This window comes from Homo sapiens, chromosome 1 (genome assembly GCF_000001405.40).
Source record: "Homo sapiens chromosome 1, GRCh38.p14 Primary Assembly".
Taxonomy (NCBI): Eukaryota; Metazoa; Chordata; class Mammalia; order Primates; family Hominidae; genus Homo; species Homo sapiens.
The window spans coordinates 231,376,615-231,396,110 of record NC_000001.11 but is presented as its reverse complement, the minus strand read 5'-3'; the positions used below and the strand labels follow the sequence as shown (position 1 = coordinate 231,396,110).

The 19,496-nt window shown below is 40.5% G+C and overlaps 1 protein-coding gene across 4 annotated transcripts in view, besides 2 other annotated features; it reads left to right on the top strand.

Annotated features, from left to right (window-relative positions):
• EGLN1 (egl-9 family hypoxia inducible factor 1) overlaps positions 1–19,496 on the top strand; it is a 58,532-nt gene that overhangs the window by 26,177 nt on the left and 12,859 nt on the right. The window lies entirely within an intron of this gene.
• Positions 1,994–2,288: a silencer, noted in NCBI's record as "tiled region #11665; HepG2 Repressive DNase matched - State 19:H4K20". NCBI's record gives its function as "represses a minimal TATA promoter and a strong SV40 promoter by Sharpr-MPRA in HepG2 cells {active_cell/tissue: HepG2}" and the evidence as "EXISTENCE:reporter gene assay evidence [ECO:0000049][PMID:27701403]".
• Positions 18,943–19,002: an enhancer, noted in NCBI's record as "active region_2729". NCBI's record gives its function as "activates an Ori minimal core promoter by ATAC-STARR-seq in GM12878 lymphoblastoid cells {active_cell/tissue: GM12878}" and the evidence as "EXISTENCE:reporter gene assay evidence [ECO:0000049][PMID:35858748]".

Below are 19,496 nucleotides of genomic sequence, written 5' to 3'. Positions count from 1 at the left end.
TAGTACCAAACACTATAGAGAGGGTTAATTAGGATTGGAACTAAAAGACATTTATTGCCTTTTTTTTTTTTCTTTTTAAAGGAGTGGGGTAATTTGGGACTTTTCCTGGGGTAATTTCACTGGAGTTGTGGGAGCAAAGTCAGAAAGCGGTGCGTTGGGTGTGAGTGGTATGTGAGAAAACGTAAGCAGGGACCTTAGACCAGCACTTCTGGTCTACATTAATGTGTCTATGAGTCACTGGGAGATCACTTGGAGATCTTGTTAAAGTGGAGATTCTGAATCAGTAGGTCTGGCATGGATGCCCAGATTCTACATTTCCAACAACCTCCCAAGCAATGGGGATGCTGCCGTTCTGACAGCCACCTGAACTCAGTATCCCAAATTGTTCATCGATGTATCCCAGAGCACTGTAGCTAACTTGCAAGGGTGCCATGGAATATTTTTAAATTTCAAGGGAAATACACTGGCGTCATTAGATTGCTGTATTAGATCACTGCATTCCTTTCAGTGATGTCATACCTTTGGGAAGCTGGATTTTCAGTGCTTGCTCTGATAAAAAGCAAGTACTGCCTGAAAATCAGTGTGGAACAGGAAATGAGGCTGTCAGTGTTCAATCTGAGTCCAGAGTTTGAAAAGTATGCAGTGCCCAACAGGCATCCAGTTTTTAGAACTTAAAATACTTACTAAGTGGTTTGGCTCTTACTGCTTAACGGAGGCAACTACAGTTGTTAGATACTTCTTTTGGCCGAGGTTTACCCTGCAAGATCACTGAGACACTAAAGATTCTTTGAGCCAAGAAAGTTTGGAACCGTTGACATAGGACTTCTTCATAGAAACTTGTCTGTGGAGCCAAAGAGAGCCTAGATGATTGGGCGGTAGCTAAAAGAGGAACAAAGGAGCATTTATTTTAAAATAAAAGAGACAGATATGTTGTATGTTGGGGGAGGGAGCAGCTGATAAAGAAGCAACAAATGTTGACTTAGAGTAAAAGATCTCTGAGGAGGTGAGAAAGGATGGAATCTGTTTTCTCTAAATATTGCTCCCAAACCAACACTGGTTTGTTGGAAGACATGAAGAACGTTATTCCCCACTCCAGACCTCCTGAATCAGAATATGCATTTTAACACTATCCCTAGGTGATTTGTATGCATATTAAAATTTCAGAGGCACTATAGGAGGCAGGATTGGCCTTATATAGGAGAAAGAATGTCTCTTCCTTTTATTTATTCCATCACTATATTGTGTACTTTCCCGCATCCTAGCCATTCTGATTGAGGGAAATGAGATGACAAGGGTTATTTATTTAGATAAATTTAGAAATCTGGGGGTGAAAAGTTGAGGAAGTTTTTGCTTGTTTGCCTTAATTATCTCAGGTAAGTACATAGAAAATATCTCCATCTAGTGAATAAGAAAATTGGGACTGGCCAGGCGTGGTGGCTTATGCATGTAATCCCAGCACTTGGGGAGGCTGAGGCAGGTGGATTATGAGGTCAGGAAATCGAGACCATCCTGGCTAACACGGTGAAACCCCGTCTCTACTAAAAATACAAAAAAAAAAAAAAAAATTAGTCGGGCGTGGTGGCGGGCGCCTGTAGTCCCAGCTACTCGGGAGGCTGAGGCAGGAGAATGGCGTGAACCTGGGAGGTGGAGCTTGCAGTGAGCCGAGATTGCGCCACTGCACTCCAACCTGGGCAACAGAGCGAGACTCCGTCTCAAAAAAAAAAAAAAGGAAAATTGGGACTAAAATAATGGCTGAGAGAGGTGAGCAATGGAGATTTGAAATAACCATTTTGAGGAACATCAACAAACCTGACCAGAAATACAGAAATTGCCAAGGAGTTCTGAAGGTCCAGGTGAGGTCAGAGACAACTTTTAGTGGTGTCAATCTGCATAATTATAACTTTTTCCAGTGGTGCTAGTAGCTTGGGTGTGGGAACTGCAATAAATTGGATTAGTCTACGTTTGTTGATTTGCAGCTTGAGGTTAATGAAAAAATAAGCTAGCAAAAATCTATCCTGAATATGAAAAGAAATGAAGCCACAAGGAGGATGAGATGAGAAAAAGGAGTAGAAGGATTGGAGTTCTCCTTGCAAGCCAATGAAAAGGCTACATATCCTGAAGTTGGAAGAATCCTGCCCTTGTTTTTATCCACAGGGAGAGGAAAATTCTTTCCTGTCAGGCTGCAGATATTTAACAGGGCTTTGTGACTGATTAGATAACAGGAAAGAAGTTTCAGTCTAGGATGACTCCTACTGTTCTGATATTAAAACCTACTGGGAACATAGTTAATAATTGATGATAAATTGGCCTCCAGTGAGCATTTTTTTTTCTGAAAGGGAAAGGCAGAGGGTGTGATGAGGAAGCATGGAGGCAGGATGAGATTTGGAAATGTTGAATTTGAGGTTGGATAGGAGAGTATGTAGGTAAAGATGGCTGTTTATACCACTGGAAACAGGGACATGGAATATAAGAGGTCAGATACAAAGATCAGCTTGGGATTCAGTGATATAATAATAGCCTCTATTGATTGTTCATTGTTATGAAGAAGACTGAGCAGTTTATATTGTCATTTATCCTCTCATCAACCCTTTGAGGCAGGTATTAAGCCATTTTACAGATGAAGAAGTAGGATTAGACACATGCCCAGGGCCACGCAGCTAGTAATTGTTAGAAACAAGATTAGGAACTAGATCTCTCCGATTCCAAATCCATGCCCTTCTAAGCTCTACTATATTTTAGGTCACCAGCTTCTGGCTCTTGATTGATACCTGACGTGTTATAGAGCTTCTCAGATGCAAATAACCGAAACAAAACAAAAATCTTTCAAATGAGCTTAAGCAAACCAGAACAAAATGTATTGGTCCTTACCTATGGGTCTGCTGATTGACTGGCAGAGTTGGAACCAAGGGCTCAAACAATATTATCAAAACTTGATCTCTCAGCTTTTCTTTTCTATATTAGTTATTCTCTTGTAAGCTCCCTGATATGACAACAAGATGGCCCTAATAGTTTCAGCATTACATCATGGAGATACATACAGAAAGAGAGCTGCTCTTTACCAAGGGCTTTGACAAAAATCCTGGAGTTGCCTCTGATTGGCTTAGGCCCTTTGCCCATTTCTGAACCAACTTCTGGCCAGGCTTGAGCCACATGTCCACCCTGGAGGGTAGAGAGTGAACCTCACCTAGGGGTGAGAACTGAGGACTACAGGTCAGGCTTTCCCAAGTAAATGAGGCACCTGGAAAGAGAAGAAGGGGAATGGATGCCAGGCAAACAAAAGCTGCTTGTCCACACGTGGACAGGGATGAAAAATCTCACCTGTGACTGCTTGAGGATGAAGATAAAGATTATGAGACTGTCAGTAATGATGAAAATAAGTGACATTTGTTAGATGCTTACTAGGTACCAGGTGCTATGCTAGTCTTTTACATGTATTCTATTGTTTATCCTCACCATAGGTTTTTGAAGTGTATACTGTCATTATTTCCAAATACAGCTAGGAAGTGGTAGAGCTGAGATTTGAATTCAGGCTGGACAGCTCCATACCTCACCCTCTCTATTACCACCATAACATTTTACTTGTAATTTTCTCATTGTAGTTTTCACATTTTGTCTAGTTACACTGGTTGACAGCATATAGTGAATCAGACAGACCTGGGCCACCAATTTTTCTACATAGTATGCTTAATAAATAATTGTTAATATGACTTAAATAGCATTTACTTTAAGTATTATAGTGGAAAATTTTTAAAATTAAGTTCTTAGTTTTTCTCTTAAAATGTTTTGTGCTTTATTTATTTTTATTTTATTTTATTTTATTTTTTGAGACAGAGTCTCGCTCTGTCGCCCAGGCTGGAGTGCAGTGGCGCGATCTCGGCTAACTGCAAGCTCCACCTCCCAGGTTCACGCCATTCTCCTGCCTCAGCCTCCCAAGTAGCTGGGACTACAGGCGCCCACCACCACATCCGGCTAATTTTTTGTATTTTTAGTAGAGACGGAGTTTCACCATGTTAGCCAGGATGGTCTTGATCTCCTGACCTCGTGATCCGCCCGCCTAGGCCTCCCAAAGCGCTGGGATTACAGGCGTGAGCCACCGCGCCCAGCCTGTGCTTTATATTTTAATCTTATAAGTGGCTTTTTATGTTTAGCCACTCTGGTCCTAGAACTCTTTTGTTTTTTTAAACTTCTTATACCATACTTGAATATGTAAAATTCTAGTTGGATTATTTCATTTTTAGTATATCTGTAGAGATTATGGAAATATTTTTGTTAATCTTTGTTTAGTCTTTGTAATAATAGTTTCAAAATCTTATCTAGTATTTCTATAAACGCTTTTTTATAAAAAGCTAATAGTGTGTTTTTAAGGCTTGTATTTTCAAAATAATTTATTCTGAGGTTGTCCTGTTTACTTATTCAAATTGGTTATTCACAAAAATAAAAAGATAGTCTCATGTGCTCTTATTTTTAAGATGCGTATTTTAAGCATTAAAACCATATGTTTTGTAACAGAGTTTGAGTTTTTAGACTAATAAAAGTTACCGAGTACCATTTTATTTTGGTTTTCATGATTTGGGGCTCTGCGGTGCCAATTATATTTTTTTAATCCTGTCTGAAATGTCTGATCTGTGTCGTCATAAAGGAAGCAGTGCAGGATTGGAAATCAGGAGACCCCTTTTTGTCCTTTGGGATTCCCCTCTCTAAAGAGTTTGGGCCAGACCTTTATGATCTTTTCCACTTTTAAAATTCTAGTGTTTTTATTTTAAATCTCTGCTAGATCAGAAGCACTGCCTTATGGATGTATAGTCTTAGAGCTAGATTGGAAGATAGCATAGTCCAGGTTCCTTATTTTAAAGATATACCAGCTGGGCATGGTGGCTCACACCTGTAATCCCAGGACTTGGGGAGGCCAAGATGGGAGGATCACTTGAGCCCATGAGTTTGAGACCAGCCTGGGCAACAGAATGAGTTCCCTGTCTCACACACACACACACACACACACACACACACACACACACACAAAAAAAAAACAGAATGAGTTCCCTGTCTCACACACACACGCGTCGGTCGTGGTGAATCAGTTCCTGTCTACACGCACACTAGCCGGGCATGGTGGCTTGCGTCTGTAGTCCCAGCTACTCAGGAGACTGGGGCAGGAGTATTGCTTGAGCTCAGGAGTTTGACGTTGCGGTGAGCTATGATCACGCCACTGATCTCCAGCCTGGGGGACAGAGACCTTGTCTCTTAAAAAAAAAAAAAATTAATAATAGTAAAGATAATCCAGGCCCAAATGATAGCGTCTAAGATCTCACCATCATTTAGAAGTAGTGGAGCAAGGACAGGCATTTCTGCCTGTGCTGCCTTATGCTCTTCTTTCCTCAAAACGGTATTAGCAACTTGAAGACAGACAACATTCATTTATTTGATTAAAGGAACATTTATTGAATCGCTTCAATCTATCAGGCATTTTACTAGGCATGTGGTTAGCTGCAAAGATGTGTACATGAGGGAATGTGCATATATGGAGGCCCAAAACTGGAATATAGAGTCCAACAACCTTGGGTTCACAGTCTATCTGACCACTTAGGAGCATGACCTCAGTTAAGTTAGCCATTCTAAGCCGCATTTCTTTGTCTACAAAATGAGAATAATAGTAGTAGACATTTACACAGTTGTGGTGAGGATTGAGACTATAAAGATTAAACTTAGCATAGTACGTGGCACATAGTAGACTCTCTTAGAGTTTATGAAAGAAGGAAGGAATTAAGACTTATGGAACATTTTCCTGTATTGTCTTATTTGATTCATACCCCTGTGAGGTAGATAGTGATACCCTAATTTTTCAAGTGAGGAAACAGCGCTGAAGGCTTGGGACTTCCCCAAGGTCCACAGCCATTAGTCATACCTACCATACACATTATTTTTAAAAAGTGCACCAGACACTGTTTTAAGCATTTTTATGTACTAGTTTATTAGCTTTGCATGTGGTATACTATTGTTATTTTCACTTAACAGACAAGGGTAGTTAGGTACAGAGAAGTTGAATAATTTGCCCAAAGTAACACAGTCAGTAAGTGGCAGAGTCGTGTGCTTCATGTGCAGGAAATCTGGCTTCAGAGTCCCACTGTTCTTTTGTTGTTGTTGTTGTTTGTTTGTTTGTTTGTTTTCAGAGAGCATCTTGCTGTATTGCCAGGCTGGAGTACAGTGGCGCTATCTCAGTTCACTGCAACCTCTGCCTCCCGGGTTCAAGTGATCCTCCTGCCTCAGCCTCCCAAGTAGCTGGGGCTACAGGCGCTTGCCACCACACCCAGCTGATTTTTTGTATTTGTAGTAGAGATGGGGTTTCACCATGTTGGGCAGGATGGTCTCAATCTCTTGACCTCGTGACCCGCCTGCCTCGGCCCCCCAAAGTGCTGGGATTACAGGCGTGAGCCACCGCACCCGGTCAGAGCCCCACTGTTCTTAATCTTTGTGTTCTTCCTTTTACTTCATGCTCTCTTTTGTGAAGGTGAAAAGCAGTTTTACAAACTAGAAGGTGCTACATAAGATGTGGTATATTTATCTGACTTGGTCCCTGTACTCCAGAGATTACAGTCCATGAGGAATGTGTCTTCTCCAGGCTAAACCTACTCATTTATTGCCACTGTTACTCGCTGGATATTGCTGTCACTATTTTGGCCACTTTTCTTTAAAAAAAAATTTTTTTTCATTTTGTCAACGTTCGCCCTCTAATGTGTCCCCAGAAATGGATACAAGCTTCAAAGATCTCTATTCTGCCAAGCTGTCTTACCCTCATTTTATAGTTTACTCTGCAAGATGAGAATAAAACCTGCCTTCCAGGGATTGTAAAGATTAAGTGAAAGAATAAATGTAAAGTTATTAACACATAGTAATTTGTCAGTAAATGCTGCTGGTTATTACTTCTGTATAGTATGGTTGATTTTTGCCATTTTGAAAGTAGGATTTATTTTTAACTTTATTAGAATTCATCATGTTGATTCAATTGAGATCACATTGAATCTTCTTTCTTTTATTTGTGATATTGGCTACTTTTCCCAGCTTTGTATGAGCTGTATATTTTCCTATTGAGAAAGGTTACATTAATAAGATTCCTTTATTTGTGTGACTCAAAATCATTGATAAAAATATAGACTAGCTAGGCTGGGCGCGGTGGCTCACGCCTGTAATCCTAGCATTTTGGGAGGCTGAGGTGGGCAGATCGCCTGAGGTTGGGAGTTTGAGACCAGTCTGGCCAACATGGTGAAATCCTGTCTCTATTAAAAATATAAAAATTAGCTGGGCGTGGTGGTGGGCGCCTGTAGTCCCAGCTGCTTGGGAGGCTGAGGCAGGAGAATCGCTTGAACTCAGGAGGCGGAGGTTGAAGTGAGCTGAGATCACGCCATTGCACTTCAGCCTGGGCGACAGAGAGAGACGCCGTCTCAAAACAACAACAACAACAACAAAAAACCAAAAAATTAGGTAGGCATGGTGGTGCATGCCTGTAATCCCAGCTACTTGGGAGGCTGCGGCAGGGGAATTGTTTGAACCAGGGAGGTAGAGGTTGCAGTAGCCAAGATCACGCCACTGCCCTCCAGCCTGGGCGACAGAGTGAGACTGAGACAGACAGAGAGCGAGACAGAGACAGACACTAGCTACAGGCTAGAGATAGTAGAACCTCCTGGCAGGCTGGCAGAGAGGCCTGGATGTAGGATTCATAGAGAAACTAACTATTAATGTTAGTTTGCCCAGCTCACATTTCACCGTCTTATCAACCACATATGTGAGAATATTTTTCAAGATTTTAAAAAATGTATCTAGTTGGTTCTTCCCTCTTAATTTTCTTACAGTTCTCTCAATTTAATTACAAATGTGAGGCCTCCATCCTCTGTCCTTAGACTTCTTGCAACATTCTCTTTAAATTAGTCATATCCTTTAGCAGTGGTACTCAATTTTTGTTTTATGGCCCATCAATCACTTTGCTTAGAGTCACTGGGTTCTAACACCCTCTACAACCAAAATAAACTTCCTCTTTTGTCAACAAGACATTTAGATGTAATAGTGTATAGCAATCTGTAAAGATCTGCCTACAGTAGATTTACATACAATGATATTGATCAGATGAGCAGGGTAGATCACTTAACAGGTTCAGCAAACATTGTGACATAAAGATTAAGCCTGGGCCACCAGAAAACTGTGGATCAAAGAAACAGGTGACTGAAGAATAGGTGAGAGGCAGAAGAGTGGTATAGATGGATGTTCTGGTGGGTGGTGGGAACAAGCATTTGAGAGAGAGATTGGATATTGGTAGTTACTGACAGTATGCCTGACAGATATTGATGGGATGTAAGGATATAGAGAACTTGACTTCTTAATAGTTGTTATGAAAATCTTGTACTCAGTCTGTTTTTCTAAACCACTCACTAGGTATACTTAAACATCCTTAAAAATAAGTTGCGGCCGGGTGTGGTGGCTCACGCCTATAATCCCAGCACTTTGGGAGGCCGAGGCGGGCAGATCATGAGGTCAGGAGATCGAGACCATCCTGGCTAACACGGCGAAACCCCGTCTCTACTAAAAATACAAAAAATTAGCCGGACGTGGTGGCAGGCACCTGTAGTCCCAGCTACTCGGGAGGCTGAGGCAGGAGAATGGCATGAACCCGGGAGGTGGAGCTTGCAGTGAGCCGAGATCAAGCCACTGCACTCCAGCCTGGGCGACAGAGCGAGACGCCGTCACAAAAAAAAAAAAAAAAATTAAAAAAATAGGTTGCATCTAGGGCCAAAATAAAAACACATGGTACTGAATGAAAACCATCTGTAGGCATAATTTAGTATTCTGTCTTTATTTAATTAGGGGGGTGTGTGTGTGTGTGTGTGTATACATATATAGCATGCCGGTGTTATTTTGACATCTCATGCAAATGGCAAGTTGTCAAACTTCAATTTTTTTTTTTTTGACTAGCCACAGGGGCTCACACCTGTAGTCTCAGTGCTTTGGGAGGCTGAGGCAGGAGGATTGCGTGAGGCCAGGAGTTTGAGACCACCCTGGGCAACATAGCGAGACCTCATCTGTACAAAACATTTTAAAAAATTAGCTGGGTGTGATGGTGCACACCTGTAGAGCTGTTCAGGAGGCTGAGGCAGGAGGATTACTCCCACTCAGGAGTTTGAGGTTGTAGTGAGCTATGATCCAAGCCACTGCGCCCTAGCCTAAGTGACAGAATGAGACCTTGTGTCTAAAATATATGTATATATATTTTTACAAGCTAGCAGTACTTCTATCAATCTTTAGCAATGGATGGTAAAACCCACCTTCTGTTTTAAAATTGTATTAAAGATGTTTATGTTACTCTTCTTTATCTGTCTAATCTATCATCTCTGTTCTCTCAAGGTAAATCATTAATTGATTTATTCAGTAGATATTTGAGTGCCTGTGTTTGGCACTAGGAGTACAAGAATAAATAAGAGCTGGTTCATCCTCTGTTGGAGTCTACAGTCTGGTTGGGGAAACCCAGAAAAAAAAATGAGTGTGTTTAGGTGTGGCAATATATAAATAATTAAGTAACTTTTCTAAGAATGATGTGAAAAAACAAATAACATTAAACTAATTCAAAGTGATAAAAGTAGAATGAGGTTAATGTTAGATGAAACAGACTCATCATTATTTTCTAAGACTGGATCTTGTCCTTACATTAACCACACTCTCCCGCAGTGGTATGGATGCAAAGATTAAACACTTCAGCTCTTAAAACAAGACTAGATAAAATTATTTGTAAAATGGAGATAGTCATTTCTCTGAATACCTCATGGAGTTGTTGCAGAATTGAAATGAGATAATTATTTGTAAATGCTGTGAACTAGAGTTCTATACAAATAGAACTTGTACTCTGATGAAAGTTGTGACTTGAATCTTTGTCCATCATGCCACAAAAAAACTTTTCAGAAGTGTTTGGTTATCTGCCTACAAAGGGAGTTACGCTATTATTGAAAAAAAAAACCAGCCGGGCATGGTGGTTCGTGCCTGTAATTCCAGCACTTTGGGAGGCCAAGGCAGGCAGATCACTTGAGTCCAGAAGTCCGAGGCCAGCTGGGCAACATAGTAAGTAAGACCCTGTCTCTATAAAAAATTTAAAAATTAGCTAGTCTACTCAGGAGGCTGAGGCAGGAGCCCAGGAGGCTGAGGCTGCATTGAGCCATGATCACGCCACTGCACTCCAGCAACAGAGCAAGACCGTGTCTCAGGAAAACAAAAATAGAAAAAGAAAAAAATCAGCTCCTTTTTATTGCAGTTACTGAATTCTTAAGAGCCTGATTTACATGTTTTCTGGCCAGTCTTAGCAACTTACTGCTTTATAGCTGTACTACAAAAATGGTGCCACTCAGTCACCTACCGAAGTGAATGAAAACCTCTAGTCTGAATGTGTCACTTCTTTGTTTAAACCTCTTCAGTGGCTCCCTGTTACCCACTAAAACCCAAGTTCATCATTGGGGCTTACTAAGCTTTTGGGAAGGGGCCAGAGCTATGTCCAGCCTTACCTGTCACATTCCTTGACTCACACGTCAGGTTCACCCTTGTTTGCAGTTTACACAGCATGTGTCTACACACACACCATGACCTTTTCTCTTCCTGGAATATGCCCCCTCTCCTTCCTTACCTGGCTAATTCATACTCTTTCAAAACTCATTTTTCAGATAGTCCTTCCTGATCCCAACCTTCTCCCCAGTGAAGTAGTCAGCGCATGGACTGGTCATTTTAATTGTCATCTGTGTTGGAATGATCAGTTTTCCTCTCTGTTCTACTCACACTTCCTAGCACTATGCCTTACACATACCCTAACTGAACATGTTCAAAACTGAACTCCTGATCTCTCCCATTGTCCAGACTCAGGCTGCACCATATGCTGTCTTCATCTGTTTATGGTAATTACATTTTCCCTATTGCTTAAACCAAAACCTTAGAGTCATCTTCTTTTATATCTCATACCAGTCTTTCTGGACATCTTGCTTTATTCTGCCTTTAAGATAGTATGAGTATCCCAGCACTTCTTACCACCTCCATTGCTACCACTGTGGTCCAAGTGATCGTTGTACCACACCTGATTTATGCGGTAGCCTTCTAACTACTCTTCTGCCTTCCACTCTTGCCAGCCTTCAGTCTATTTTGCACATCAGGACTTGGCAGACTTTTTATGTCAAGGGCCAGATGGTAAAAAATTTAGGTTTTGTGGCCTGCACGGTCTCTGTCATAGCTGCTAGACCGGAGTTGGGGCACAAAAGCAGCCATAGAGAATATGTAATTGAATGAATGTGGTTGCATTCCAATACAGCTTTACTTATAAAAACAGGCAGTGGGCTGTGGTCTGCCAGCCCCTGCTCTACATGGCAACCAGACTACCCAGTGCCTTCCGGTGACTTAATCTTTATAGTGTTCTCTAAAACCCTCCATGATGTGCGTCCCCAACCCCTTACCTGTCTGACTTCATCTTACGCTGTTGTCTGCTTTCCTCCCTCCTCTCCAGTCACACTGACCCTCTTTTTCCTCAGATATGCCAGGCCCATTGCCACCTGATTCTTTGCACCATTTATTCCTTCTGCCTGGAACATTCATTTCTTCTTAAATGTCAACTTCTCAGTCAGGCCTACCTGACCAACCACCCTATAAATAATTACATTCTAGCATTATATTCCCTATTGCGTGTTTTTTTTTTTCTTCGTAATGCTTGTCTTCTGCCATTTCTTATATTATGCTATATATTGACTTAATTTTTTCTCTTTCTTTTCCTGCTAGAATAAATGTTCCCTGAAGGCAGTAACTTTGTATCTTTTCTATTAAGTAGTGTATCCCCAAGATCTAGAACAGTGCCTGACGTATAGTAGGTGCTCAGAAAATATTTGTTGAATGAACACATAGTGTATATTTTTAGGGTTTAATTTTTTTTAAATGAGTTCTTTCTCTCTCGCCAGCACCATATCCTTTCTGTTTCACACTCTTACTGTTGCTCTAAGCTGCCCTGTCCTTTCCATTCTCACTCCCCTTTATTCTGACTCTCATCTATTAGCAGTGTGTCCATAACCTTTTATTTCGTGGCATCTGGGCCATCCTCTACAAGTAGATTGAGTGATGTTTGTAAAATGGAAAAATGATTTTATTATTCAAAACTCTTTATTTTTGATTTTTTGCCAATTACAATGAAGTGCTTGTTTAAAGTACAGGATCTCTTATGAAGGAATAATTGTCAAGAAAAAAAAGTACGGGATCTCAGGCCTCATGCCATACCTGATAAGTCATAATTTCAAGCAGAGGGCATAAGAATCATCATAATTTAGGAAGTAACCCAAGCGATTCTTACTGAACACAGTTGGCCAACACTGGCCTGTAAGGTAAAGTTCCCCAGTGAGTCAGTGAGAGCCTTTTTGAGCTGCCCCTGCCTGTCTGTCCTGCCCCATCCCTATTGCTCCACACTGCACTTCATCTTCCAACAGTTTTTCTATTTGCATTTCTCTCAAGGCACCATATTGATTCTGTTTTTGCAAATATTCTTTTCCCTGTACAGAACAGAATCTTCTACTCTGGAAAACTTCTATTTTTGTCTTTCAAAATTCTGCACGTTTGTCACTTTCTCTATAAAGTCTTTTCTGATCCCCATTCCCGTGACAAAGTTAATTATGTCTTTGCTGTCTGGGTACTTTGTGTAAGTAAGACTCTGTTCTGGTGTTTATTACACTGTACTGTGTGCCTTTGCATAACTGTTTGCCTGTTGTGACCTGACCTGAGCCAGTAGTTGTTTACGGGTATTAGGTTTTTATTGAGAGGTACTGCTGTTCTTTGGAGGCTACAGTTAAATGAGTGTTACAAATCTCTTCCCCCAGAACCGAGCTTCTAAATGGCATGTTACTGTGAAAGCAAAACTCACACTGAGTTCTGCCACACACAAAAAAAATTTATTAGGAAGCAAGCACAAAAATACTGTTTTATTAGGTGGATAAAATTCCTACTCTCTATGCTTTTAGAACATCTGACAAGCACCTTTTTTTTTTTTTTTTTTTTTTTTTTTTTGAGACAGAGTTTCGCTCTGTTGCCCAGGCTGGAATGCAGTGGTGCGATGTCGGCTCACTGCACCCTCCACCTCCCAGGTTCAAGCGATTCTCCTGCCTCAGCCTCCCGAGTAGCTGGGATTACAGGCGTGTGCCACCCCACCTGGGTGATTTTTGTATTTTTAGTAAAGATGGGGTTTCACCATGTTGGCCAGGCTGGTCTCAAACTTCTGACCTCAGATGATCCACCTGCCTCGGCCTCCCAAGGTGCTGGGATTACCGGCTTGAGCCACCATGCCCGGCCTGCCAAGCACCTTTTATGGAAGGTTTATTTAAGGCAAAAATGCTAGTGTGCTTTTAGGATTCAGCTGAACCTAATTGGAATCAAATAACAGAATTCCTTTATGGGGAACTAACAGAACCAGCAGGAGTCATAAGGCTCAGGGTACAGTCCCTAATAGTAGGCCATTAGATTAACTAGATTCATGTATATGTTCATGTAAGAGCAGTGGTCCCTATACAGTGTGTAGCCATAACACCTTTCTTGAGTACCATTCTTCTCTAATACTGTCATAATTTCTAATATCCACTATGTTAATTACTAAATTCTCTGGCTTTGAGATGAGATAAGGCTTCTTGAGTTGTCTCACTGGAGTAGGGTTTTTGATTACAAGCTTTCCTCATTTACTGATGATTATTTATATCCAGTCTTGGGCTTGCATGTTAACTAAGTGCTCCAGGATGAATGTCAGGAACCTCTCACTCATGTCCTCTAGTCCATTAAAACAAATAATAATTACACTGTTTGTGCCAAAATAACTTAAGGAATTTAAATCGTAACTCTTCTAGACCCTGGAATTGAAACAGATGTTTTACTTTTAATCTCTGTATCCTCATGCCTAGTGCAGTACCTGCTCAGTGAGCCTCAAGAAGTGCCAGAATGTATGTTTGTAATGTCAAGCAGCTAAGTGTTTTGTTCTGTTTGTATTTTTGTTTTTAATGCCGAATTGCAGACTCTTCCAACGAATTATATTAATAATATAGCAAGTTTGCCATAGCTGTCAGAATATCTGTCTTAACAGTGATACTTCCTTGCATGGGCTAGAATGAGGTTGTATAATTCCCTGGGTGGGGATCAAGCTGAGACCTGCTCAGGATCCCCAGTCTCCTTGTGGAGAGAGGTTGCTCTGTCTTCCTCATGAAGTTTGCAGTGGGAGTGGTGTGTGTGATATAAATACAGAGCCCTGCTTGGGAATCTAAGAAAGAGTTGTGCAGTGCTGGTAAGATTATAGCTGAGGTTAACAAATTGTAGATCTCTGTTCTGACAGCAGAGCTAGACAGCTCAAAATATAATGTGTTTCACCAGATGAATTTCTTATTTGTAAAGCATAACTTTATCAATTCTTCACTAAAAGGGAAATGAAAGCTCAGAGAGTACTAAGGCATCATGACATATCTCTAGATTATACTGTCGGGAGCATCATACTTAAGTTGATTTTTAAGTGTATATTTAAGTTTTTTTAATCATGGGCTAGAATTAGAGCCTAATAAGGAAAGTAGTTTGGTGTTAGATTATTAAACAATTCATAATTCTTGGGCCACTTGGAGAGTGATTTGGATCAATGCTATTTCTTCTTCAATAATCTTTCATTGTTTTTCTGTATTTTTCATATTTCTATGAACATGGGAAGAATCTTGGATTTTTAAAAACTTTACATTGATAATTAATATAATTATATTCTGCCTTCCTGTACCGATAATAAAAACTTTGTATTAACATACTCTTCCACACAAGCAGAGTAAAAAGGTTGAAATTGTTGTTGTGTCATATGACAGCGGTTAACAACCAAAGAGCTCTTAAAAATCAGTAGGGGGCCAGGTGTGGTGGCTCACACCTGTAATCCCAGTACTTTGTGAGGCCAGAGTGGGAGGATCACTTGAGACCAGAAGTTCAAGACCAGCCTGAACAACGTAGTGAGAGCCCATCTCTAGAAAACATTAAAAAATTAGCCAGGTGTGGTAGCGTGTACCTGTACTCCCAGCTACTTGGGAGGATTGCTTGATCCCAGATGTTCAAAGTTGCAGTGAACCATGATCACGCCACTGCACTCCAGCCTGGGTGACAGAGTGAGACCCTGTCTCTAAAATAATAATAATAACTCAGTAGGGAAAAGATTAACCCAGTAGAAAAGTGGATAAAGGATATGAGCAAGCAGTTGAAGAATTAAATGGCCAATAAAATATGAAAAATGCTGACTTAAAAATATAAGATGTAATTAAAACATTAGTAAGATAAATGTTACCTATCAAATTGAGCTGTTTTCAAAGATTAAAACTTACTATGCTGGGTTGGCAAATGGTTAAAAAGATGTGTGCACTCATACAAAGCCAGTAGGAATATAAGCTCATGCAATAATTCTGGAGAACATTTCAGCAATCAGAAAGCTTTAAGACCTAATAATTTCACTTATAGTAATTTAATTTTAGGAAAATATCAAGGATTTACAAAGATTAAGCTCCAAAACTATTGTTGATCACAATATTATTATAATAGCATTTTTCTAATTTTTAAGGAAACTATATGCCCTTATATGTCTTTTTAAAATATATATATACCTATCATTTACACTTAGAAATGAATTAGTCAAAAAATTAGTCAGAAATCATTTATAATAAGTCAGCTTTTGACCACTGAGTTGTTTACTGTGATCAAGAAAGCAGCAAGGCTTAAGGAGTTCTTATTCTTTTTTTTTTTTTTTTTTTTGAGACGGAGTCTCGCTCTGTCGCCCAGGCTTGAGTGCAGTGGCGCGATCTCCGCTCACTGCAAGCTCCGCCTCCCGGGTTCACGCCATTCAAGGAGTTCTTATTCTAAATGACTTTATTTCATGACAATCTGTTCTCTGTTCTCTTCTCTCTGTACTCCCTTGGCAATCTGTGGCAGGCACACGGCTTCAGCTATCCCATGCGAAGATGGCTCCTAAATTTACATTTCCAGTCATGACTTTTTTTTGGAGTTCCACACAAGTTTCCAACTGCCCTTTGAACATCCCCACCTGGATGGCCTTCCAGCATGACCTGTTTTCTTCCGTATTTGAACTAGATTTTTGTAGACCCCCAAGGTAGTGATAGTGATGTGTATGTGTGCTTTGGAAGTGGGCAGGGAAGAGACTTAAAAAGATTTAACTGTAGAACTGAAAAATACCATGTGCAGTACAGCAGGTTCTTGAATAACATTATTCTGTTCAGTGTCGTTTTGTTATAATGTTGATGAGGGATAAAGAATCAATTCCTGGCCGAGGCCAATGTCTGTGTGGAGCATGCAAGTTCTCCCCATGTCTGCGAAGTTTTCTTCAGGTGCTCCAGTTTCCTCCCACATCCCAATGTGTGCATCTTTGGGATGTGGACTGACGTATCTGTTATCTTAGTGTGAGTGAATATGGGTGTGTGTGAGTGCACCTTGCAGTAGAATGGCGTCCTGCCCAAGGCTGGCTCCCATCTCGTGCTTTGAGCTCCCAGGATAGGCCCCAGCCACCTGCAACCCTAAAACTGGACTAATGGCATAAATAATTACCTTGTTTTTATTAATCTTTCTTAAATGTGTATATAGCTCACATTTATTTCAAGGTTTACCATTAGAAGTGTTTTGGTCTTTATTTAGAAGTTTGGCAATGTTTTATGACCACAAATATGCTGTAGAAACTTAAGTTGGTTTCATTATACATTGTTTCACATAAAGTTTCCAAGAACCTATCGAGGCTATTAGTGAGGACTTACTGTACATCTTGACATGGGAGAATTGGGCATTAGGCATGAGCATGTGCCACTGCAGCAGGTGGTGGGCCGCTTACGAGTCTGGATTACCAATTTCATCTGAACTCTTGGGTGGACTATATACATGCCTTACTGGAGCAAGGAATTGAAGAAGAATACAGAAGGAAGTTGTTTTTCTCTGCCTCAGTTCATATCCTGCCTCTGCCATTTAGAGTCTCTGACCTTCGGCAATTTTTTTCTTTTCACTCCAGTTTAGTTTTCTGGTCTCTAAAATGGGGGGAGAAATTGTGCCTACCTAAGGTTTGCTGTAAAGAATGACCGAGGTAATCCATGCCTGGCCTATAAGTGATTAGTAAATGTTAGCTGTCAGCCTCTACAAAAGGCATAGTGCTATGTCAAAGCATAGTGCTTTGATAATATAGTTTAATAGGATAAATTTTCAGATAGTAAACCTTTTCCCTTCATTCAGGGTAAAAATAATAGTTCTGTAACCCATCAAAGTTTAGTTCTCTAAGCTTTGTATCCCTGTTTTAAAATAATTCAGCTCAAAAAAGAAAAATAAGTTTCCTGGTTCAGCTTCATATTGAAGCCTTCTAATGCTAGAAATAAATGTCTCTAGATTCCTCAGAGGCATTGCGGACCTCTTCCTTCCTTTTATTCTCAGAGTGAAAAACAAATTTATGCTGTTTCCTATCTTAAGAACATTCTCAATCAGCCAGGCACGGTGTCTCACGCCTGTAGTCCTAGCACTTTGGGAGGCCGAGGCAGGCAGATTGCTTGAGCCCAGGAGGGGAAGACCAGCGTGGGCAACGTCGTGAGACCTTGTCTCTGAAAACGTAAAAAAGAACATCCTTAATCATATATATTTTCATATCAGAAAAGAAAAAAATAGTATTGTTTTGTTTTGTTTATGTATAAATAGGTTTTTCTCGATGGGAAATTGAAACATTTAAAGTTGGTGTCTCTATAAGGTGGCAAATTAGGAATTTACCTCAGAATTATATAGTGGTGGATTGCATTGTTTCTTTTTCAGGCTTTCTGGTTTATAGGGTTATGTTGGTATTTTTCGTGTTATTCTTTTTACAATTATAATCATGAACTGCTGCCTTTCCTGGGGCTGGTATTGGCAAGTTAATTGGGTTGGCAGATCCATGCAGGCCCTGTGGAGCACTCATCCCCTCTCCCTTCTTCCTTTCTCCTCATTTTTCAGTATTCCTGTCACCAGAGCAGAGCACAAGGGACCTAGGGAATGCCAGATAAGACTAAAGTGGTAATGGCCACTTTTAAATAATACATTTAGATGGTGATAATTGAGCTATACTGGGAATTATAGAACTTAACACAATTACATTAAATTTATTAAAACTTTTCTTCAAAACGTGAGATTTAAAACTTTTCTTTACTCTGCCTTTTATTTTTTCAAAGAATCCTCACTTGGAATTCAAATACTGTATAGGAAACAGCTAAGCACTGCCTCTAGTTTAAGGTTGGGGTTAAAACCTGCTTGTTTGGCCTCTTCTCATATCACTTCATTCCCAATTAGTCCCCTACCCCTAGATACCTCCCTAGGGCTCCAGGGCTCTAAGGAAAGAGTTTAGAAGTGAATAATACAAACAGATCCCCGGTTGGGGGATAATCCTGGTGCCCTCAGTTTTGTTCTATTCTGGGATGTCTGGCTCATTTTGACAGTTATCGATAAACTCCTCTCCTACCCGATGCTTGTAATTAAAACTGCTCTTTCACCTAGTGTTTCCATTTTCATGTACAGTGACTCCATTCATTTACTTACCTAGGCTGAAAACCCCGTAGTCATTCTTGACTCTTCTTACTCTCCACTCATTAGCAAATCATGTTGGTTTTCTGCCTTCAGAATACACCCCACTTTGCTACTCTGGGCTCAGCCTCTTTGGTTTCTTGCCCGGAAACTTTAATAGCTAACTTAGTCTTCTCTTTTCACTCTTTGCTTCCTGCAGTCTAGTACAGTGGTTAATTCCATGGGTTCTGGAACCAGATTCCCTGTCATGTGACTTTGCGAATACTAATTAGCCTTTCTAAACCTCAGTTTAGAGGAATGAGGATGAGAACAGTGATACTGTTTACCTCACATGGTTGTGTCAGACAACTTGTTATGCACAAATTACTTAGATAGGACATGGCAAACAGTAAATGTCCCATAAATGTTAGGTGGTAAGAGATATTGAGGTTGTTGTGGTTGTTTTTATTCATACAGACTTGAAACTGATATTCTCAAAACATTAGTCAGATACATTCTCTGTTGGCTTCCTGGCCCTTCTTAGCACAATATCCAAAGGCCTTCCTGTGGCTTACCAAGCCCTGCAGCTCTAGGTTACCTGGTTCCTCTCTGATCACATTGGCCCGTGCTCGCTGTGTTCCAGCCACACTGGCCTGCTGCTCTTTCCTGCCTTGTTCAGCCTTTGAGCACTCATTTTCCCTCTGCCACATTGCTCTCTCTTCAGAGATTTGCCCAACTTGCCGCTCCCTTCATTTAAGTCTAAACCCAAATGTCAACCACTGTTCAAGAATATCATGTCATCTTTCTCTATATACCTAATTTTTTTCATATCTTAAGAAAATACAACTTTTCACTACCTAACATTACATTATATATCTGTTTATTGGCTAATTATGCTGTTAGACCAGATTTCATAGTACAATAGTCCCCTCTTATCTGAG